General features: G+C 35.5%; 1 protein-coding gene across 8 annotated transcripts in view, besides 1 other annotated feature; it reads left to right on the top strand.

The window, feature by feature from the left end:
* Window positions 1-24,679, top strand: part of SLC44A1 (solute carrier family 44 member 1) — a 193,854-nt gene that overhangs the window by 91,592 nt on the left and 77,583 nt on the right. For all 8 annotated transcript variants that reach the window (NM_001330731.2, NM_080546.5, NM_001286730.2 and 5 more), the window contains 3 exons: window positions 12,116-12,209; window positions 19,970-20,139; window positions 22,102-22,191. In NM_001330731.2, the coding sequence (NP_001317660.1) occupies window positions 12,116-12,209; window positions 19,970-20,139; window positions 22,102-22,191 (354 nt within the window). The remainder of the gene's footprint in view (window positions 1-12,115; window positions 12,210-19,969; window positions 20,140-22,101; window positions 22,192-24,679) is intronic.
* Window positions 5,764-5,873: an enhancer, noted in NCBI's record as "active region_28738". NCBI's record gives its function as "activates an Ori minimal core promoter by ATAC-STARR-seq in GM12878 lymphoblastoid cells {active_cell/tissue: GM12878}" and the evidence as "EXISTENCE:reporter gene assay evidence [ECO:0000049][PMID:35858748]".

A 24,679-nucleotide genomic window follows, 5' to 3' on the forward strand; every position in this document is an offset into this window, starting at 1 on the left:
AATTCTAGCATCAGTACTTTTTCAATGAGTCGGTGTGTATATAGTTTTGTGTTCTGCTTTTTAAATTTAACGTTCTGTCATAGCTCTTTTTCTGATAATAATTGTGAGCAACTTTGAGGCTAAAGATAGAGGAATTAGCTGAGAAAACTAACATAGTTTCCTGAAATCTAGCTCTGTTCTCTGAGGCATTTTATCTCTAGTACCATCCTCAGGTCCACATGGCTTGCCTCAGTTCTCTTCAGAGAATCGTTTTTTTAACCACCCTTTGTAGAGGCCTATCTTTTTGAATTTCCTTGAGGTTTCATGCTTGTATTTTGTGTGTAGGAATCCTCAGAGCTGCCTTGATCCTGCCCAGATCCACAGGCTAGTGCTGGTTGCTTGGAACAAGGAACGACCCAGGTATCCAGTGGGTACAACTTCTAGCTGGGTGGACAGACAGCATGGAACCATAGCTCTACACACACTAGCATGGCTCCAGTGTCTTCCAGTTGGGGATGCTAGCCTTCTGAAGGCAGGAGGACTGCAGCCTCCCAGGCTGGCAGTATCCCTGTTCCGTTGTTCCATGCCCTCAGCATAGGATAACATGGGTTGATTTGGGTCTGGATTCCAGTGCTGACTGTCACTGACTGGCTCTGTAATGAGGGTAAAGGGTAAAAGTTCTCTGAGCCTAGGTTTCCTCATCTGAAAAAATGTGGATTAAAAATAATACTCCCTCATAAGTTGTTATGAAGATTAAATAAGATGATGTATGAAGAATACTGGACACTTGGTAGGTACTTGAATAAAGAAGTGCCAACCACTCTTCACGATCTCATTTTTTATTCCCATATTGTATCCCCACATGTGTTGTTGCTGAGCCTCATACCAGCCTCAACATTATAAGGTTTCTTAGGGAGGGGTGAGCCCTTCCTTAAGGGTTTTTCCAGAATTTTAGACAATGTGAGTATACTCTGACAAGTGGTGTGGTTGAGTGGTTAAAAGTATATGCTCCGGAGTCCTATTGTTTGGGTTCAGATGTTGCTCCTACCACTTACTGGCTGTGAGACCCTGGGCAAATTACTTGACTTCTCCTTGCCTCAGTTTCCACATCTATGAAATAGGGACGATATTCGTACCTAATATACTTCATAGGATGGTTATGAGGACTTGATACATGAACAATGCTTAGAACAGTATCTGGCAAATATTAAGTTGCTAAGAAAAATTATTGGCTGCTGCTATTATCATAATTATTATTATTCCACTAATGGAATGTAATAGTCTTTCTGCCTCTAGTCTCTCTCTAATTTTAGCTCTCTTACATACTACTGACATATTAACATTCCTAGAACTTCAATCAATGCTAACCCCTTGCTCGGAAATCATCCATAGTAAAAAATAAAAGTCTGTATGTCTTATGCTATCATTCAAAGCTATGATCTAGTCTTGAACTGTCTTCCAATATATCTTCTCAAAAAACCCACTGGATGTGAGTCTTGGTCCCTTGAACCTGAGCTGTCATCTGGAGGGCTAGAAGAGAACTAGGTCCTTATTGGCGGTGTGGCCTGCTGAGATGTTCACTGGAGGAGAGATGCCCTATGGTCCCCTGCTGGTATGCTTTGTTTCCAGGCTGGTATCCTTCTAAGTGAATATGATACTGACTGTGGCCTGTTCAGGTCTAGTTAAGAAGACCCTCCTGGTGGGTTTTACAGCTTTGTATTTCTCACTGTGTCTTGCACAAAGTAGGTGCTCAAGATGTATTAATGAATAAACATTATTTCAGCAAACAGACTTCTTAAATTGGTGCCTAGCTACAAAGGCACCATTAGGGTTTTGTGCCAGCTGTATGAATAGTAAGTCAATAAGGTAGCCATAAAAAATGACAGCATCCAGAAGCACAACAATGGAGGATAGAGAAGACAAAATTTTAACAGGCAAATAGAAAAGCTGTAAAATTATATCAGAGAGAGAGCCTTTTGTATAGAGGCCTAAATACCTTATTTGAGTAGCAACCCTAAGTTGAAATTTCTGAATTTCTCAAAAGAACCTATCCTGCTGTTTAAATTGGTGACTTAAAACTAGACCTGGTAATAAGATTTAATTCCAATATTATCCTTATCACTGAGAAAATTATTTCTCTGCTTTTTGCATTATTTTTCCTTCTTTTGTCTTTTTAAGTTATCTGGTTTTTTTCTTTTTCTTCCTGCTTAAGAGACAGGCTGAAGTGCAGTGGTCTAGGCTGTAGTACAGTGGCACAATCATGATTCATTGCAGCCTTGTACTTCTGGGCTCAAGTGGTTCTCCTGCTTCAGCCTCCTGAGTAGCTGGGACTACAGGCATGTGTCACCATGCCCAGATAATTTTTTTACTTATATGGCAGTGAGGTATTGCTGTGTTGTCTAGGCTGGTGTCAAACTCCTAGCCTTAAGCGATCCTCCCTCCTCGGCCTCTCAAAGTGCTGGGATTGCAGGTATGAGCCAGATACCTGGCCATTCAGTTATCCTCTCAATCATTTGAGGTGCAAGTTGATTCAAGAGTAGCAAATAATTTTTATTAGAATCTATGTCTGCATGTTGTTACAGCATATTTCTGTTAGAAAATACACAGACCCTTTAGCCTCAAATATATAGACCTCAATCATTAATTTCAGAGAGGAATATCTTTAATATATAATTCAAACTTAAGTGGGAAATTTTCAAATCAGTAAGAGGGGCTAGTTAAAGGTCCATGAAAGAGCCTAAATGTAAGAGCTAAAACTGCAAAAACTCTTAGAAGAAAATGTAGCAGAAAGCTGCGTGGCATTGCATTTGGCAATAATTTCTTGGATGGTACCAAATTGCACCAAAAGCACAGGCAACAAAAGAAAAAATACATAAGTTGGATTACATCAATTAAAAACTGTACATCAAAGGACAAAAATCAACAGAGTGAAAAGTCAACCCATAGAAGATATTTATAAATCAGATATCTGGTAAGCAGTTAATATCTAGACTATCTGAAGATCTACTATAAAAAAAAAACACTGAAAATCACACAAGTGTTGGTGAGGATGTAGAGAATCGGAACCTTTGTGTACCGTTGATGGGAATGTAAAACAGTGCAGCTGCTATGGAAAATAGTATGGAGGTTCCTCAAAAAATTAAAGATAAAATTAGCATATGATACAGCAGTCCCACTTCTGAGAATATATCCAAAAGAATTCAAAATAGGATCTTAAAGAGATATTTGCACAATCATGTTCATTGTAGCATTATTCACAATAGCCAAGAGGTGGAAGCAACCTAATGTCGGTAGACCAATAAATGGATAAAGAAAATATGGTGAACTGCCAGTCGTGGTGGCTCACACCTGTAGTCCCAGAACTTTGGGAAACTGAGGCAGGAAGATCACTTGAGTTCAGGAGTTCAAGACCAGCCTGCACAACGTAGTGAGATCTCGTCTCTATAAAAAGTAAAATTACCCAGGCATGGTGGCATGCACTTGTAGTCCCAGCTACTGAGGAGGCTGGGGCAGGAGGATCGCTTGAGCCCAGGAGGTTGCAGTGAGCTGAGATTATGCCACTGCACTCTAGCCTGGGTGACAGAGTGAGACCCTGTCTCAAAAAAACCTCAAAAACAAACAAAAACAAAGAAAATGTGGTGAATACATGCAATGGAATATTATTTTAGCCTTAAAAAAGGAGGAAAGAATGTCATATGCTACAACTTGCATGAAAATTGAGGACACTATGCTAAGTCAAATAAGTCAGTCATAAAGAGACTGCATAATTCCACTTACATGAAACAAAAAGTAGAAGTGTGGTTGCCAGGAACTGAAGGAGAGGGAAAAAGGGAGTTGTGGTTCAATGACTAGAGTTTCAGATTTACAAGATGAAAAAGTTCTAAAAATCTGTTGTACCACAATATGCATATAGTTAATAGTGCTGTACTGTACACTTAAAAATGGTTAAGACAGTCAATTATATGTTATGCATTTTTTACCACAATAAGAAATAGGAAAATAAATTCTGACACATGCTATAACATGGATGAACCTTGAGGACATTATGCGAAGTGAAGTAATCCAGTCACAAAAGGACAAATACTGTATGATTCCACCCTGGAGTAGTCAAATTTATATAGACAGAAAGTAGAATGATAGTTGCCAGGGTGGCAGGGAGAGTGGAAGGGGAATATTGTCTAATGGGTGAAGAGTTTTAGTTTTGTAAGATGAAGAGAGTTCTGGAGATGGATGGTGGTGATTCTTGCACAACAGTTTGAATGAACTTAATGTCACTGCACTGTACACTTACAAATGATTAAGATAGTAATTTTATGTTGCCTTTATTTTATCATAATTTTTATTAAGTTCATGAAAGAGTCCCACTTGAGGTAGTAACAGTTTAAGTGCTAATTTTATACCTTATTTTAAGATGCAAGGCAATATAACATGTTTCTTACTAGAATGAGAAGATAATATAAATGCTTTTCAAAGAATTTTAAGTTTCCATGACAACATTTGAAAGTACTTTTTAGCACTTACAACCATCCATTCACATGAAATTTTATTACCTCTAGAAATTAAAGGGGAAGAAGCTCTCAGTTCCTATGGTGGTGGTTGTAAGAAATCTATTTACTAGGCAAATAAATTATTTCCTCAAATCTTTGTTTCTTTTAAACAAGAAAAAGGAGTTGTTTTCTTGGGCACTTAGAGTTTGTGGAATGCCCCTGTCAAGTATGACTACAATAGACAGTTTGGAAGAAATAGCTGGAAATTAGATTGGTATTGTGGAGATGCTGTCATATTACAAAGGCTTTTAAAGGCAGACAGACAAATATAAAAATGTGAGGGCTGGCCAGGCGCATGGCTCACACCTATAATCCCAGCACTTTGGGTGGCCAAGGTGGGTGGATCACCTGAGGTCAGGAGTTCAAGACCAGCCTGGCCAACATGGTGAAACCTCATCTCTACTAAAACTACAAAAATTAGCTGGGCATGGTGGCATGTGCCTGTAGTCCCAGCTACTTGGGAGGCTGAGATAGGAGAATTGCTTGAACCTGGGAGGTGGAGGTTGCACTGAGCTGAGATCGTGCCACTGCACTCCAGCCTGGGCAACAAGAACGAAACTTCGTCTCAAAAAAAAAAAAAAAAGAAAAAGAAAATAATAATAATAATAAAAGAACTGTGAATGCTAGTACATGAGTTGGGTCGTGGGGTACAAATGTGCATTTATTTTTATGGTTCATAATTCATATAACACAAATATTATAAATACATAATGCTAGAGAAGAAAACAGTTTAAAAATTGCCTTTAAAAAATTGAAGTTGCCAAATACCATAAGGACTCAGTATCATACTTCTTGCAGTTGTGTATGAATTTCCTAGGGGCAAGCTCATGCTCTATTCATCTAGGAATATCCAGGCCCTAATATAGAGGCTCACGCAGTAGATAAGTAGATATCCATAAATGTTTTTTGAAAGAATGATGGGCTGGATTTCCCTGTTCTATTCTATTGCCACTTAATAATTTCTCATTCTCACAGAACACTTTATCCTCAATTCTGTATCTGTGTGAGTTGACACCAGCAGGTAAATTGTTCTCCAGTCTAACCAGTATTTCTGTAAAATCAGTTATTTTTATTCATCTCTAAATAACTCATTTTATTCATTCATTTATCTCCCTTATACATACTATCCAAGTGATTATTCATATCTCTTCTTCTCTTAAGCCCTCTTGTTTGTACTCTTTCCAAAACTTATGCCCTACAGAGAAAACTGAAACCATCTGGTGAATGCTCTCATCTGAGTTCTTATTTTCAGCAGGGCATGAATTCCATCTTACTTTCACTTTCCTTCTCTTCAGTCTGATGAACAGGCTACTTTCCTCCTTATTATAATTATTTTTGAAAATTCAAATAACACATACGGTAGTTCTCCCTTATCCATAGTTTTACTGTTCAATTTCAGTTATCCATGGTCAATTGCAGTCTGAAAATATTTAATGGAAAATTCCAAAAATAATTCATAAGTTTTACATTGTGCACTTTGCTTAGTAGCATGATGAAATCTTGCACGGACCTGCCCCATCCCACCCAGATACAGATCATCCCTTTGTCCAGCATATCCACACTGTGTATGCTACCCACCAGTTAGTCTCTTAGTAGCCCTATCAGTTATCAGATCAAAAAGACATAGCATATAGAGGGTTTGGTACTATCCACAGCTTCGGGCATCCACCGAGGGGTCTTGGAATGTATTCCCATGGATCAGAGGGAACTATGTACATTGTAGTGGGAGAGGAGAATCTCCCTCCTTCAGCTTTCATCTCAGCCCAGCCATACCAAGACAGGTGGTGAAGGGAAGGGGAAGACAATGCCTGCTCAGACAGTTCTTCTCCTTTCTCTCTCCCCACTCTAATTCTGACGCAGCATCTCTGGTCCATAGACCACCCTTCACTTCACTCCACTGTCCCCATTGTTCAGCATGGGCATCTGAATTGGAATAGAAACATCAGACGTAAGCCCTGAGTTTTGTTTCAACATACCATTTATTGGTAGCTATTGTATGCCATGGACTGCACCAGATGCTTTGCGTATTGTTTTGATTTTTGCACTTGCTATCTAAGTTCTAAATGGCAGTTTAGAAATGAGCACAATCTTCCAAGTGTAGTGATGCGTGCCTGTATTCCCAGCCTACTGAGAGGCCAAGGCGGGAGGATCACTTGAGCTCAGGAGTTCAAGGCCAGCCTGGGCAACATAGCAAGATCCTTGTCTCTAAAAAAAAAAAAATATATATATATAAATAAATAGAAATGAACATAACCTGTGAGTAAGTTAGGGGCTGACTATAGATTCTCAGTGCTAATAGTTCACATGGAATTTTTATTACCGTTTCCATTATTCTTATCAAAGTGTTTTATAATACATGTTTTATCTTCCCTAACACAGTAGTAAAGTCTGGCAGAAATCTTATTTTCCTTTTGTTTGCCTCCCATTTATAGTATGTGGAAAAAGCACTCCCATTTATGAGTGCTTCTTCAATGTACTATATTTTGAAAAAAAATTTGAGAGCTTTATAATCTGCCCTTGAGATAATGTTCACATTTTGAGTAGAGCCATGAAGCTTGTGTTTTCTTAATGATTACTGTTTAGCCATTAAAAACTTTAACAGATTATGTGATCTATTCAGATAATGCTAATTGTGAATACTAATAAGTCTTTTTGATTATTGTTATCTGGTTGTTAGATTAATCAGTATCAATAGATGATCAGTATATTACCCTTTTTCTTACCAGTCAGTATGAATAAAATTTAAACCCCAGAGTAATTATGTATTCTTTTTAGCACAGTAAGTCAAAAGATTTGACTTGATATCATTTATAAATGAATGAAATGATCAACTCTAGCAACCGAATTAATTGTCTCCAAGTCAGAGATCAGCAATGATGCTTGGTTGTTTAAAAAGAAGGAAGATCCTTACATTTGATAATGCAGTTTAAACTAATTCTTTCATTCAACAAATACTTAGTACCCATTAAGTATGCATCAGATACAAAGTACAGTCCCCACATTTAAGGAGTTTGCAGTATAGTTGAGTCAGAATTCTCCTTTTCCTCCACAACACCTAGTAGAAGTCTTGTACATAGATGTTCAAAATTAATTCACTCAGCAAATATTTATTATGTGTGCCTAGTGTGTGCCAACAGTGGTTGACAGACGATGCCACATTCTTACCTGGCTAATTTCTGTAGGTGGATGCTTCTTGGGAATTGCAAATATGTCCATATTTTTCATGGGTTACTAGGAATTAAAATTGGAAAATTATCTTCCATTCTCCCAGCATGTAGTGTTTCTTAATTAGTGAAAAAGAGGTTAAATTCATTAGACATCACAAGGCAATGGAAATCTTTCATAATAAAAACTGTTCTGCATTGAGAGACTTTCTTATTAATTGCAAATTTTTAAATCATATTTTAAGGAATATTTTTCCTTAATTTTAATCTATCCTGCAAATATTGTGGTGGTAAATTAAACAAAATTTTAAAGCAAGAAAAATTAGCCCCCAGCATAGAAACTCTTTGTTTTGTATCTTTATTTCAAATAATGTGATGTTTTAAACCATTGGTTCACAATTAAAAGTGCTTTTGCCTCCTCAAAGATAATTGGCAATGTCTGGAGACATTTTTGGCTGTCACACTGGGTGAGAGCTTAGGGGGAGGCTACTGGAATCTTGTGGATAGAGGCCAGGGATGTTGCTAAACATCTTGCAATGCACAGGACAGCCCCCTACAACCAAGAATTGTCCAGCACAAAATGTCGTAATACCAAGATTGAGGAATGTTGTTTTAGGTAGTATATTTGTAGCAAATGGTGAAAAGCATCCGAACATTGTATATAACATATAACACCAAAACATAAGATATTAAAAACAGTTATTTCATTTTTTCTCCACTCAGGATATCTGTTTTATTCAACAGAAGGCTTTGGATGACATCTATGTATCAGGAAATATAGGTTCCAGACATTTCAAAGGCATAAGGTTCGAGTTCTCAAAGAGTTTGCATTATAAAAATAGAGATGATATATAAACAAAAAATTACAAAAGAATATGCCATGTTTTATCATAGAGCTAAGTAGTAAATAGCTTTGTTGGGTTGGTCAGAGAAGGCTTGACAGAAGAGATGAAGTTTGAGTAGTGTGTAGAAATTCTGCTCAGACGTCAACACTCAGGTGCTAGCTGGGAAAGGACAGCGCAAGCAGAGGGAACAGCATGTGTGAAAGCCTGGAAGCTTGTTAAACAGCAAGCATTGATTGTATGTTGTTTATTATGTTGAGATGAGTCTGGAGTTTTAGGTAGAGACCTGCTTTAGGAGGACCTTGAATCCAGGATATTTGGACTTCATCCTGAGGATAGAGATATGATATGACTAATCTGCATTGTACAAAGACCATTCTGATGGTTATATGCAGAATGGAGATGAGAAACACTTTACAGTATTTTAACTGACACAGTAGGAGGTCATGAAGGTCTGAGATAACATAGGAAGGTCTAATGTCAGGATGTAGTATCTCTTGAATGGTATAGGAAAACAGTAGATAAAAAAATGTAGGATAACTTGTATGTTTCACGGATGTTGGAACCATTAGCCAGGACAGAAAATATAAAATCAGAAAGTACCTGGTGGAACTAATTTTTCTCCAAAGATGTTCTTTTTGAGGTATCTGTAGAACGTATGTTTTTTGGCCCAGGAGTTTATTGAATACTTGCCCAATTATGAGTATTAGCAATGGCACAAAGGAAGCATGGCAGCTTAAGGGGCAAAGAATTCCACTTCTAAATATGCCAGTGATTGTGTTTAAGGCCTTGGAAATATTACTTTTTTTTTCATCTGTAATGTTTGGAGTGTGGTGATGGAAACATACCTCTTAGGGGAGTTGATATAACTGATACTGAGCTAAAGAATAATAAATTAAGACTAAATAATTGACTATTATACAGCATTTGAAAAATTGTAGTAGTTAAACATTTTGGGGGCCATAGCAACCATTTACCATGATAAATGTTTATACACTAAAGTTAGGTTCCTAAGATCACTCATTTTGGTAGTCTTTGAGTAACATCGGCTGAGTTGCATGGATTGCCTCTGGTGTGCTTTAGATAAGCTTTTGTTCTTAGTTTTCTACTTTTCATTACTCATGTATAACTTTTACCTGCTTTTGCATTAGAAGGAAAACTTTGTCTTACTGGTTATATCCAAACCTCTTGTGCTAAGTATTTTTTATACTTTCACTGAAAAAAAAAAAAAAAACACATACTACCTTCAAAATGTTAACTGAAAATGCCTTAGCTAATGAACATGAAAAGAAAAACAGTTGTAAAATGTTTGCTGTTACTGCATTGTTTTAATGTTCTTCATTGAGGCTTCTCTGTTCATCAACCCTTTGAGCAGGAAGCAGTATAAGGTTTCTTATGATTATTACTACTAACACATTGTAAAGATCTTTTTCCTTTAATCCATTTAGTACAGGATCTATTTAGTACTGGCCTGTGTCCTAGAATACCATCAGAGATAAGGCTATTATCCTTTCATTGAGTATTATCCTGGGAAAGTATTTATAAAATTGAACTCCATTGCACCTGCTGACCTCCTTTTTTAAATGAAGAAGGGGTGGGGATAGAGATTATGCTAACTGAATTCAGATGAAGCAGTGTATTTGCCAGCACTGACACAAAGTGCTTTAGTTAGGGCCTTTTGTTTTGTGCAAATCGATTCCATCTTGGACTCTGAAAGAAATAAGTTGACAATTCAGATCAGGAAGTTGATAATCACATTGGGTCCTCTGCACTTATTGGCGCAGTTGCTATTTTTCATGAGCAATTCTGTACTAGGACTCCTAGCTATTTCAGGATTAGTCTAAAATGTTTGTTTGCCATTATTGTCATGTTTTCTGCAAAATTGCTATAAATGTAATCTAGTGGCATTATATTCAAGTATGAAAGACAGTACTCTTAGAAGAGTTAAATATTTAATATTCATGCTTAGCTTTTTAAAAAATAGATCATTAAAATGGAAAAGAATAGTCAAGCACAATTTTTAAAACTTAGTTTCTTATTGAGCCTACCTTAAGCTTAAAAAGCTTGAAGAACAGTGCCATGTAACTTGTAATTATCGCTTTAAAAATATTTTGCATTGTCAGATTACTCAGATTATCATTATATAAAATATATGCTACATGCACTCATTTCAGTATGCTATTAAGGCTCACATATTTAATCACTTAGGTTTTTTGCTGGTTTGGGGCAGCATTGCTAAATTAAATGGTGGTTTGTGCCTTTCTAAAAATTATTTTGATTGATAGGACAAGATATAAATGAAATAAATTTGCTCCCAATTTTGTTGTGCCATTAAATCAAGCTATATTCTTTTTTCTATGTTCCCTTCCAGTTCCTTCTCATATGGTCACATGCCTTTTCCATAATTAACTCAGTGTTGCAGTCTGCTGTTCACATTATATTTTAAGATTTTTCCATGGTGGTACAATATAAAAGTTCAGTATCTTCATAATACAAATGCAAAGCTATTCTGTTTATTTAATAATAAAGTATTTGACCAAATTAGTAATCTGGTACGAACCTCAGTTAATCAAATATAAACAGTTTATGTGATGAAATGCAGCAAAATTAGAACTGGAGCCTGGGTCTCCTCACTTAACAATATATTATACAATGAACCTTCCAGTATTCTAGTTGCTGTATTTTAAAATTAACGGATCAGGAAAATAAGATGTATATTGGATTTAGTGGACTTTATCCATCTCAATTATCTATACTAAGGAAATCAATGTATATACCAGCTTTATAGAGTTATAGTAAATTATATAACACATAAATGTATTATGTAAATTTTACATTGTGTACATTTTACATATATTAGATATGTGTTGGCCATATAATCAGAAAAATTAATTTTTTTTTGCATAGCCAATCTAAAGTTGAATTTAAGCTGTCTTAAACTCTGAAAACTAGGAATCACTTTTATCAATTTATCAGTTTTATCAATTTTTTCAGTTTATTTACAGTTAGGAATGTTTCCTGCTTTTTAAATAAGTAATGTATTATCTGAATTTACATGTGTTATATGCATTAATTGTAAGCATTTAGTAATTGAAAGCATAGGAAAAACAGGCATAATGTGTAGCTGAGCACAGGCTTTGTAGTGAAAGAGATGTGGTGTTTAATCCCAGTTCTACTCCTACTAGCTCTGTGTTCTTAGGCAAGTTATTTACCTTATCTCTTAGCCTCTATTTCCTTCTCTTTAAAGTAGGCTTAATAATACCTGCCTTACAGAATTATAGTAAATTGTATAATGCATAAATGTCATCTTGCAGAGAACCTGACACTCAATAAAGGTAGTTCTAGTACTTATTGTTATTACCTTTAATATTAATTAAAATTTGTACATGAATTACATTAATAGTAATTTTAGAGAAGAATCAGTTTTAAATGATTGAGGACTTATAATATGGATCAAATCAGATTTTTATGAATTCTATAATGTTTGGAAAGTTGCATATGTTGAATAATACAAAATTAAAATGAATAGTAAGAGAATTTTTTCAGACTGTTCTGCCACCTAACATAATTTTTCTTTCAACAGGTTCAGCCCTATGTAGCTACAACCTAAAGCCTTCTGAATACACTACATCTCCAAAATCTTCTGTTCTCTGCCCCAAACTACCAGTTCCAGCGAGGTAAATTTTATTGCAAAGTTGTTAACTTGTGACTGTTGTTTTTGTAGGTAAATTTTAAACAATATATGTTATTCTGAGAAAATAGTCATTTGATACCTGTTGGCCAGGTCCAATACTTTTATTAAAAAAATTTTAAAGTAGCAATAGAAATGACATTATATATTTAATATTTAAAAACAACACATAGGCAACCAACTTTTCTTGTTCTGACATATTTTAAATTTCATTTCTTTTAGGGGCTTGCTTTTTTTGTTTTTATTTTCATGCCATAATTTTTAAGTGCACAAAACCACTGAACTGCTGTAAAATCTGCAACAAACTTAGAAACCAAGTCTCACAATCTCCAAAGAGTTTTTTTGATTTATCCTAGTAATATTTACTGGGATTGTTTTAAATTTATTTTGTAAATTTAGAAAGTCTGCCAGTGATTATTCCCCATAGTTTCTTTCAGGTTATATTTTTTAGGTAACATTCTCTGTATTAGGTTGTTTGCTATATCTTATCCAAGGTCTTCTTCAACAAACATTTATTATTAAGTACCTACTGTGCATGATGGATACAAAGATGAAACAAGAAATGTTCTTTGGAAGGATCTCAAAGTAGTGATAAGTAAAGCAACATTTAAAATTATAAATAGATTTTTTGAAAGGAAATGAATTATCAAGCATTGTAAAATATATGCTCAGAATTAGGTAGGTATACGTATCTGTATATGTGTGTATGTATATTTGTGCACACACACACCCCCACATACTTTGGAGTGTTGGTCAGATCACAACCTTAGTGTATATTGCCAACTGTGTGTAACATGAGTCAACTTCTCCAGGAAAATGTACTTGAGGCCACTTTAATTGTATCTCAATATATTATAGGAAGCTGTTGTATAAAAAATTTTGAGACTCATGTCTACTTTCTTTTGGATTACTTATGGGTGTAACTTGGGTTTTATTAACTTGAATTTGAATTTTTCTGTTGAAAGTAGAAAAAAGATATATCAGTTAAATATATTTTCAGCTCATTAATCTTGTCAAGTTGCTATTGAAAAATCAAAATTTAAAGCCTGTAGACATAAAACTAAAGGGACTATTTTAAAAGATAGTAAGAGAGACTTACAAATTATGGCCTTAAACCAACAGCTACGGAGATTACATTCATATAAATTGAGAATATTAGGGAGGCTGTGGGAGTAAAGAAAAGGGGATCCTTTGAATAGTCTTAGGAGAAAATTTATCCATATAAAAATTAGAAAAGCTCTATACCCTTATCTATCCAACTGGTAAAGTCTGTTTTAAATATATTCTTTGAATATAGAATCATGCTCTCAAGATTAAAACATATTATGACAGTATAGCCAGAAAGCCTGGGTGTGAGAGGGAGGTCTCTGCTCCTGTGTAATAGGGGCAGGATGTCAGGTGGGGGCAGCTCAGCTCATCCTGCACATCCTTCCCCGCCTCTGACCTCTGATGCCACTATGTTGAGGACTGCCTGTTCCTGGTTATTTTGGGTTTTCCAGTTTTTGGTACACACATGCATCTCACAATGTCCTAGGGGTATTCACTGGAAGACAAAGAATAGTATTAGGGGAGAAGATTTTAGAGATGGACAGAAATGGCTTCTAACAAGGTCATCATCTGATATCTCACTAATCTAAAATGCAGTGCTGAACCTATACCATCTGAAAACTGACGGCATGCTGTGTTTATGCTGTGTTTAAAGATCCTTATGTTTTACTTATTTTAGTGCATCACAGTCTAAGTATGTTATCACTTTTGTCTGAACTAAGCCAGTTGGAAAGTAAAAGAGAAGAACATTTGATAGAAAGAAGGCAAATCTTGTAAATACCAGAGCTATATAGTATTAGATAAACAAACTGAAAGGATCTGAGAATAAGAATAAATTTGTTTTAATAAAAAGACTTGAGGCATCACCCCATTCCACCCATCGTTGTATTAGATACCAAGTCTCCAAAGATGAGTAAGACCTAGTCTCTGTCTTTAAACTCATAGTCTAGTAGGGACTATGTTTTTGGTGACTTTTTTTAATGGCAAAAGACCAGCACCAGGCAAAACTATGAGGCAGGCAAGTACCCCTCAGCATCCTTCACATCTCTTTTGGTGTCCTTCTAGGAGCATACTACTGGGACGGAAGGACCTGAACTTTGAGATAAGTCTGGGGTGAATTCCATATAATTACTTTCTGTTTGTCACCTTGAGCAAGTCTCTTAACCTCTCTGTAAACCAAGTTTCCTCATGTGTGAAGTGGGAATAGTCATACTCCCCTCAAGGATTTGTAAGAATTAAACAAGATAATATACATTAAACATCTGTGTGCTTGGCACTTGACTTAGGAGGTATTTCTTTAAACTTCTAGAACCTCTTCCTTTGGCCCATCTTTCTTGGGTATCCAGGGGCCTTCTACAGCTAAAAGCAGCACCTGTTTTAGAGAAAAGCAATTGTAAACTAATTTTCAATGAAGCATTAGTGACACATAATAACCAGATGATTACCATTCCTAAAAGCTTTTGAATTTTAAAAACAAATGCCTAGAAAGAGTTGTATTTTATCCAAATTCATAACTCTCTATTGGTGAAATGCCAACCATGGTGGCAATATGGGGAATAGCTAGCCAGTATGCTTACAGTGCTTTTAGAAATAGCCAGAGAGAACAGCAATAGTAGAAACAGATTACATAAATTCAGTTTATTCATCATGTATTTGGGCACCTCTGGATGCCAGAAAGGTTACTAGGTGCTGGGGAATTAATGATACAATAATGTAGAGATGACAAATTAATAGCCAAAGGCCAGATGCAGTGGCTTATGCCTGTAATCCCAGCACTTTGGGAGGCCAAGGCAGGTGGATTGCTCGAGGCCAAGAGTTTGAGACCAGCCTGGCCAACATGGTGGAACCTCGTCTCTACCAAAAACACAAAAATTAGCTGGGTATGGTGGTGCATGCCTGTAATCCCAGCTACTCAGAAGGCTGAGACATGAGAATCGCTTGAACCTGGGAGGTGGAATTGTAGTGAGCCAAGATTGTGCCACTGCACTCCAGCCTGGGCAACAGAGCAAGACCCTGTCTGAAAGAAAGAAAGAAAGAAAGAAAGAGAGAAAGAGAGAAAGAGAGAAAGAGAGAAAGAGAGAAAGAGAAAGAAAGAAAGAAAGAAAGAAAGAGAGAGAAAGAGAAAGAAAGAAAGAAAGAAAGAAAGAAAGAAAGAAAGAAAGAACCAAGAAAAAAATGTTATCTGTTCATATTTTTCAATGGAGGATTCAAGGATAAATTAACATTTACAAATCATCTACTACATGCCAGCTATCCCACAGTATCTCTCATATATATTATCTCATTTAACCTTCACAAAAATCTGTCAAGATATTGCCCCCAATTTGTAGATGAGGAAAAAGAAGATGAGAGAGGTTATCTAAAGCCACACCACTAATTGTTGCAAATTGGAATTTGAATCCAGGATGTTGTAGTCTATACCACAGTGAGTGTTCAACAACAACAAAGAGTATAGGAGTGAAAGAAGGCCGGGCACAGTGGCTCATGCCTGTAATCCTAACACTTTGGGAGACCAAAGTGGGAGGATCGCTTGAGTCTGGAAGTTCAAAACCAGCCTGAGCAACATAGCAAGACCCTCTCTCTCTATAAAACATAAATAAATGAATAATAAAAATGTTTTAAAAAGGGTGAAAGAAGAGAAAAAAGAAACACCACTCCATGTTTAGACTCGTAATTCCTGCCTTTACTGTACTATAGAGATATTGCCAGAATACTTTATTGTTATACTTACTTAAATAAAACTTTGGCTAGAAATCATGTGTAATTGTTTATTTATAACCTGAGGTTCTAGAGTAATTATATGAGATGCAGACCCCTGCCTTCTTGTGAAGGCAAATGGGCAAGTGGTATTAGGCACTGTTTGTCATCATACTTTAGGGAGCTTATTAACTGTGATGATCTGAACTTAAAGGTAAATGGACAGTATGTTTGCCAAGGTAAGATATAATTTTCATATGAGGGACTAATTAAAAATTTTTAAAAGACTCATTATAAGTTCATTTTGTTCTTGTTGACTGCTTCAGCAAGTAAAACAGCATCACTTCCTAATGTGACTACATCGACTTATTAAAGATTCAATATTTGGTGGAAGGTAGAAAAACTTACTGTATATAGAATACTTTATGCTTGTCCTTTTAATTAAGAAGCACAAAATGTGTCATTTAGGTAAGATACTAAAGTAGAAATGATCTCGTAATACTAGCTCCTCAAAAGTATTATTTTCTCAGAGGTATATGAAATCGGTGAATTCACCTCCACCGAAATTCATTAAATCACATGGGATTTAAACGCTAAAATATAAAACAAACCATTTCAATGACTCGATTATTACTTAATTTTTTTTGATAAGAAAACAATTGAAGTATCAAAACCCTGTGGCTGGCAGAGTTGTTTTTGTTTGGGGAAAAGTTGAGAAAAAGAATGACAAATAAGGAAATCTAGTTTGTTTAGATTTCAAACAAGGGAATCTAGTGCTTTTTACTTTAAAGCTAAGTATTTCATCTTATTTTTGAATAATGTGCCTATATATTATTTCTTCTTATGTTTGCCTTCTATTTTTGTTATTCATTACCACTAGGAACAGATTTTGACTATCAGCTAGACAATGTAGTTAATCAGCATGTGCTAATTTTATACCTTTAAATTTAGAGTATCAGGTTGTTGTTTTTTTTTAACTGACATAGATTGAATTTTGGTGCAAAGGACTGTTGTTATTTTGCTCCAGTTCTTTGAAGAATACTTATGAAAGTACTCTTTCCAATTGGCCAACTGTTAATAAACAGTGTAAAAATGTTTGAAAGGTTAAGTTCAGGGCAGATATTACCCAGCATTTCCTCCTAAATAAAAATGAAGGATTTTCATTTTGAGAGTTCTGGTCATTCTCTTTTAAAATCATCTATTATCATCCTAAATTTGAAAAGAAAAAAAACACTGAACATATTGGGCATCCTGTTCCTGTATAATTTTGTATCATCGATTTATGGGTGCCCTCTTGGATGGTGATGATGATGATCTGAAGAGACTTACAGAGTGCTTACTCCTACTCTTTCAGCTAACCAATGGAGAAAGTAAGAGAGAGAGATGGAGTTACAGGCAGGGTGCAAGGTTAGAAGAATTGGGGCTTTTATAGTTGCCTAGCAGGAAAAAGAAAACAGGAAGGCAGGGCCGAGAAAAATAGTGGGTACTGAAAACAAGAAAAAGACATCAGTATCCTTAAGTGAATATATTTTATGTTCAAGGTTGGAGGCAAGTGAGTTAAACAGAGACTAAATCACACATGATAGGGTAATAAATAAAGAGGATGGAGTTATAGATAATCATGAAACAGAGAGGATTTTAGTTTTGAAGGATAGAGAACCAGGCTTTATTTTAAAAATATGGTTAGAAGAGTCCTTAGGCAGAGATATTAACTTGCAGAGATGGCATCCAGACAACCTCAGAAAAGAGGCTTCATCATGACAAAGTTGTCAGTTTAAAGGTTTCTGTCACACATCAGCTTCTATTGACTTAGAAATTTACAGTTAATCCTTTTTTTTTTTTTTTTTTTTTTTTTTTTTGAGACGGAGTCTCTCTCTGTCGCCCAGGCTGGAGTGCAGTGGCGCGATCTCGGCTCACTGCAAGCTCCGCCTCCCGGGTTCACGCCATTCTCCTGCCTCAGCCTCCCGAGTAGCTGGGACTACAGGCGCCCGCTACCACGCCCGGCTAATTTTTTGTATTTTTAGTAGAGACGGGGTTTCACCGTGTTAGCCAGGATGGTCTCGATCTCCTGACCTCGTGATCCGCCCGCCTCGGCCTCCCAAAGTGCTGGGATTACAGGCGTGAGCCACCGCGCCCGGCCAGTTAATCCTTTTTGATTCTCATAATATTTTTAACTAAATCTACTTCACTTAAAGGTATTCTATAATTTAATATCTTTTTGCATCATTAGTGAAGCACTTTTTGGTTAAAAAAACAATTATTTGAATACCTGTAATTCAAGCATTTCTTAGAATGCTGTGGCTTCCTGCGCTTTCTGATACAATATCAAACCTTTGGCATTAACTTTCACTAATACCATTTTGGAGGTTGACACAAATACACAGGGATGCAAGAGGCAATTTTAAAAAACAAATATTCATGTCATATTGTTATGTCATCATTTTTTGATATATTTGCTAAAGCAAGACTAAGGCAAGGCTAGATCTTTAAAATTATATTATTTTAACGTTCCACCAAATATGACAGCATGAAAGATGTTACTTTTTCTTACCATCAATGGTGCTCATTTACTAACATTTAAGGGAAACTAATACATAGTGTGCTTATATTCTTATTTGAAAAGAAGCATTTTTCGAGGAAGGAAACAAGGATAGTGTTTTGCTTCAGGTCATACAAAGTTGCTTTGCTGAGATTAGAAACCTTGTAGTGCCCAACCATGTAATTTTATCCACTCATTGGACCAAAATATAGTGCCAACCAAGACTGAGGAACACATTTGTATCATTCCAGTTAAAAATGTAGTTGTAGCTGGGACTTAAAGTTCTGTGAACATATTTTCATGGATACCATTTAAAAAAAGTTGTAAGAACAATTCTGGAAATGTGGGATTCACGTTAACGATGGCTAAATTTTAACATAATGCACATATAAGTGTGTATTTATGCATGGACATACATATGGCTCTCATAGAATCCGAGTAAATCACAACCAAAGGCATATTCGTAGTTCTTTGCTTAAAATCTCTTATTGATTAGTGTATACTGTCCTCTCAGAAGTTGAACCATGTTGTAACAAAACAGGTTAATGTCACAGTTTACACATAGCTCTAGTCTTTCACAAGTAAAAGTTTCAGTCCATATAAGCCTAATATAAATGACTAAGTAATTGGTTATTTTACATCTTTTTAGACACAGATAATCTTAGATTAATAGTAACTGATAAAAAGAAAATAGCCCAGAATTATGTGATCCTAACAAGTCCAGTATTTTTCACTTGTTAATTATTTTCTGTTCTCATGATTATGTGTAATCTTTTATGCAGAGATATCACATTAGATATACTTTTCCCCTTATATTATTACATTATAAGCATTTCCATATATTAGTACTCATGGTTACTGTTTTAAATAGCTGCCTATTATGCTGTTTGTTGATGTCTCAGCATGACTTTGTTTATATGAGAGGTATTAAGCTTATGCTGTAAACACCTTTATTAATCTGAGATTTTGTATGCTGTTTTGTTAGAGGAAACATTCTATTAATGGTGGCATATTTCAAGTAAAAGCATGTGCTTTTTATTTTTAAATCGCTTATGGCAAAAATTCATTTTCAGTTCAATAAAGTATGTGTTTGTAAGCTTTGTCATCTGCCCCTTGACTGGTAGATGTGCAGGCTAAGGAGTTTTAAGTGTTTGGTTTTGCTTTTGGTAGTTGTGTGTGTGTATGTGTGTGTGTGTGTGTGCGTTTCTTTTCAGAAGGGGCGGGTAATGTCTTCTGTTGGAACATGCACTCCACCCTCTTTGATAAGGCTTGTGGTAAGATTTGCATCACTACCCATGACAGTCATCCTCATAGCATTAAGCACACAGCTCTTAGCTCCCATAATGATGTGTGGAGGGTGGAGTGTATTGCAGCCATATTCACCTTTCATTTGTGTGTTTGATGTGGCATTTATATTAAGTAGGAGTAATTTTTTTTCTGATTTTTTTTTCTTGTGTCACCAGTGCACCTATTCCATTCTTCCATCGCTGTGCTCCTGTGAACATTTCCTGCTATGCCAAGTTTGCAGAGGCCCTGATCACCTTTGTCAGTGACAATAGTGTCTTACACAGGCTGATTAGTGGAGTAATGACCAGCAAAGAAATTATATTGGGACTTTGCTTGTTATCACTAGGTAATTGTTTTTCTCATTATTAGCTATTGCATAGTATTGCAGAAGAAGACTGTTTTGTCTTTTAGCCAAAATATGAATACAACTGGGGATACTTGTAAAATGTTTAACTTCCCATAGCCAAAATCATTGTTTCAGATTATATATAGTTAAGAATATGTACATATAAGTATGTATATATATCTGAAACTCATTCCCTTCTTTTTTTCTTTCATTGGAGAAAACTAGTGTTTTCCCAAACGTTGTTTACTAAGTCTATAGCTACTTTAATATGAGAGCAAGAGGCTTCTTTTAATGAATCAACAACCCTCTGTTTTTAGTTATGATTCCTAAAAGGTGTATTTACTTATACAGGAGGCGACATATTCTCTTATATATTCCCATTTAAGAACACAGATTTCTGATAGATTACTTTTGAAGTATGTAATTTTTTTTTCATTGCTACAGTGCATAGTATCAGTGTATTGCTGGAAAAATTAGGAAATCTCCACCTATTAGCCACTGAGTTTTCTAGTCAATAAATAGATAATAAATCAAACAAAAATGTTATTTTCAAGATTAAAACTCCCTATATTATTCTAGAACTATATGTACCTTATCAGAATGTATAGGCCTTCTTAGTTGGGAGAAGTAAACTATGGTAGGAACCAACAGCTATTTCATTATATAAGTAAACTTAGTATTTATGCCTGTTAACAATTATAGCCATTGAGAAGATACAAGCTGTATTTCCGTCTTTCCTGTCATTAGAGAGTATTTTCTTTTTGCTTAGGTAGTACTTGACTCAATTGAAATAATGCTGTCCATATGAAAATCTATTTCTGTGATATTTGAAAGGCTCCCATCTGTTTTTGGTTCCTGTACATTTATTGCAAAAGTGAGTACCTTAATAATGTTACCTAGACACAAATCCCAACCATTTATTTGGCTTTGCAAGTGGCCCAAAGAAACTTAACTGTTAGTCTAGCTTTATATCAAAATTATTTGGTTTTTGAAATAGTTAAAACTTTAACCAAAAACTAAAGATCCAATTAAAAAATAGTGCCAATAATGCTAAGCCATCAGAATTCTATTTTTTATTAGAATGATTCTCTTTTGAGGCTTAAGAGTGTAATATAATCTTAAAAAATCTTTGTTCATTTGTTTGTGGAATGGGCCTTTAGATAATTAAGAAATTTATAAATTATTATTTCAGAAACGTATTTCCCATGCAAGGGTTAAATCTTTCCTTTCTTCTTTAAGATTTTTACTCAGGATTATAGCACATCGGATTTAGCTTGGGGCAGGTAGAAGAACTGGCTGTATAACTCAAACAGCTTTGCTCCTTTTTGAGGAAGGTCTCCTCACCTGGGACCCCTGACCTCAGTTGAGAAATTAGACAGAGGAAATTCGGCCATAGTAGGCTTCAGGATGTTATTCCACAGAGTCGGACCATCCTTTGGAGTTCTAGAGGAGAAACAGCCAGAAAAGGATAAGATGCCATTTAGCTTCTTGACTGACTGTCAGAGAAGTTAGTTGCTCCTGAAATACATAGATTACTCAATAAAGCGTAGCTCCTAATTTAACTGATCTCTGTCTATGTGTAGTAATTTTTCTTGTCACCAACATGACATGTCATTCTCTACACTTTGTGTGCTGGCATGTATGTTTGCATGTCTGATGTCTTCCCCGTGGTGAATCCACAACAGTCTTGTGCTGTTTTTGAGTCACCATGTGCATTTGCATGTATTTTTTTCTGTAGTTTATAAACCCACAGTTAGGTGACTTTGGTTTCGAGTGATGCTATTTAAGTGGTACAGGTAGCAGAGTCAAATACAACAGCAGCTAGTTTCCTTCCTTATCTAAATTGTGGTCAATAGCAACAGATTATTTCCCTGGGGAAAAAAGCAACCATTTAAAGCGTTTTTATTTGTATTTACCTGCATTTTCAAATAATATTCTATATGTTCTCTATCTTCCCTGCAGTTCTATCCATGATTTTGATGGTGATAATCAGGTATATATCAAGAGTACTTGTGTGGATCTTAACGATTCTGGTCATACTCGGTTCACTTGGTAAGCTATTTATTTCTTTGTTTTCTACCTCAGCCTCTTAACTACTTTGGTAGAAAATAGAAATATAAAGAAGAAAATAAATTATATTTTCACAAGCTATATCCTCAAGGAAGACTGTTAATTTTTGCCTTAAAATTTCTTATAATTATATTTGCCCCTCCCCTCATTTCATCACTGTTGGCATTTGAAGTTGAGACCTTTTTTCTATGCATATGTATATAAACATATGCAGTTAAATTTTACCAGCTGAATATGAAACCTTTTAGTAATGGAATTTGTTCTCATTACATTTATCATCTTCACTGGTATGTTTGGTCTTACTGTTCTCATCTGTTCTGTCTTTCTTGAAATTCATTCTTTCTTGTTTTCTCTCTTTGCTACACGAACTATGTTTTCTTTGGTTATCTTCACCCTTGTTTTGATGGTATACGTTACATTTTCACTTCCACAGTTGTTTTCAGAAAATATTCTTTAGACTACTGTGATTATTAAAGTCAGAAATAAGATGATATATGTTGAGTTCTTCCCTGCCTCCCTTAAATTTAACATAAACTTTCCTTCCTTTCATCCCCTACTCTCTTCTGCTCCCTCCCACTTTTCGCCCTTGTTAAATAGTCTGAGCTTTTGTACTCGGGTTATAATTAAAGTTAAAATATTGCTTTCACCTGCTGTATCTTTTTAAAACTCTTGTTTATCTTTGCCTTAAAAACTTTTATAATTATATTTACATTTACGTTTTCCTGGACTAGTTTTAGTAGGAACTACTGGTCCTTTTTCCATAAAGTAGTACAGAACTGCTAGTAAGGAAAACTAAATCAGTTATTTGGAAATAAATTTGAAGAAGTCTTCCTGAATGTAAAGGAAAATTACCAAAAAAGTAAACTGTTAAGTTAGAAGATGACAGCAGAAGAATAAACAATGACCTTAGGAGAAAAAAACCAATGGAACAGAAACAATAATCAAATACAGAAATAAAAAATTTTAGAATTGAAAAAGATTCCCCCAAAAGATCATAGGCAAATTTAATTAAGATTCAGAATTAGACAAAACTTTAAAACTCTAGATATGAATAGTGTTATAATGATTAAATTAGATCACATCTATAAAGGACTTAGCACAGTTCCTAATACAAATTTAAATTTTAATAATAAATACTGTCTACCATGGCTATTGTGAACAGCTTCCTCCTTGACATCATTATTTCAATTTCATTCTATTTTTTTAACTTCAGCTTTTCTCCTATAATTCATTTCTGTATGTAGGAAACATATTTTCTTCCATTTTCTGAATATATTAAACATTTTTCCAGACAATTTTCTTGTGCCTGCAAGACTTCAAAATGGAAACATTCCCTTGCTCTAAAATGTTTTTCACCAATTTCTGGTAGTTTTGATTTGTTTCCTCCTCTTCAACAGATGGAAAATTTGTACTTGGTATTTGCCAACAAATAGGTAATGGAATTTGCCTTTGATCTCATTAACTCTTGAGTGCAGATGTTGATGTACATCGACTTTGCTTCAGTTTTTTATATCCCAGACATTTATCATATCAGCCACACACACACATGTCTCTACTCTGAATCATCCATTTTTTCACTGTGACCTACAAGGCCTTACAGTGTGGTCTGGTCCGCAGCTACCTCTCTGCCCACATCTCTACCACTTTCCGCATTGCTCATTGCAGTAGCCACAATGGTCTTCTTTCTCTCATACTAGGCATGGTTCTACCTCAGTCTCTTTGAACTTTGCCTGGGACACTCTTTCCTTAGATAGTGTCATAGATTGCTCTCTGTCTTTGATTCCATTGCTCAGATATCATCTTACTAATACCAGTGAGGCCTTGCTTACCCATCTTATATAAAATTGCAAAGCTTTCCCTACCCAGACACTCTATATCCTTCTTACCAGGAGATCATTTTTTCTTTAGACTTAATATACTGTATTTTTCCTTGTTTTCTTATTTTTTTGTTTCCCTATTATTATATAAGTTCCATGAACAGCAAGAGTAAGAACTTGGCTTTGTTTACTGTTCTATCTCCAGCTAGAACAATAGGTGCTGTAGCATTCAAAATGCTGAATGGGTTGAAAGTAGGTATATAAGTCAGCTCTCATATGTGGAGGTAGGTTTGTCTCCCTCTTCAGTCTGGTTCTTTGAATCTCTCAACCGGTGTTGGAGATTTAAAAATGCTTATCCCTAGCACCCACCACTATCAGAGATTTCCTCTTTGTTCCTCCCTTTGGTGGGAACTGTTCTTTTGATTTGCATTTATTCATTGTACAAATACTTAATCAACTGCATTACTGTGTCAGTGCAAGTCACAGAGGTATCTGTGATGAGTACAACAGAGAAGATCCTTGCCCTCTTTAAGCTTCATTGATGTTTTCTGTGATGCTTATTTCCTTCCTCCAGCCTCCTCAGCTTAAATGCTGAGGCTCTTTCTTTGTGGTCAATTCCTGTCAGGGGTGTATGTTTCTACTGGCTCGCTCTT

Source organism: Homo sapiens, chromosome 9 (genome assembly GCF_000001405.40).
Source record: "Homo sapiens chromosome 9, GRCh38.p14 Primary Assembly".
In the NCBI taxonomy this organism is placed as follows: Eukaryota; Metazoa; Chordata; class Mammalia; order Primates; family Hominidae; genus Homo; species Homo sapiens.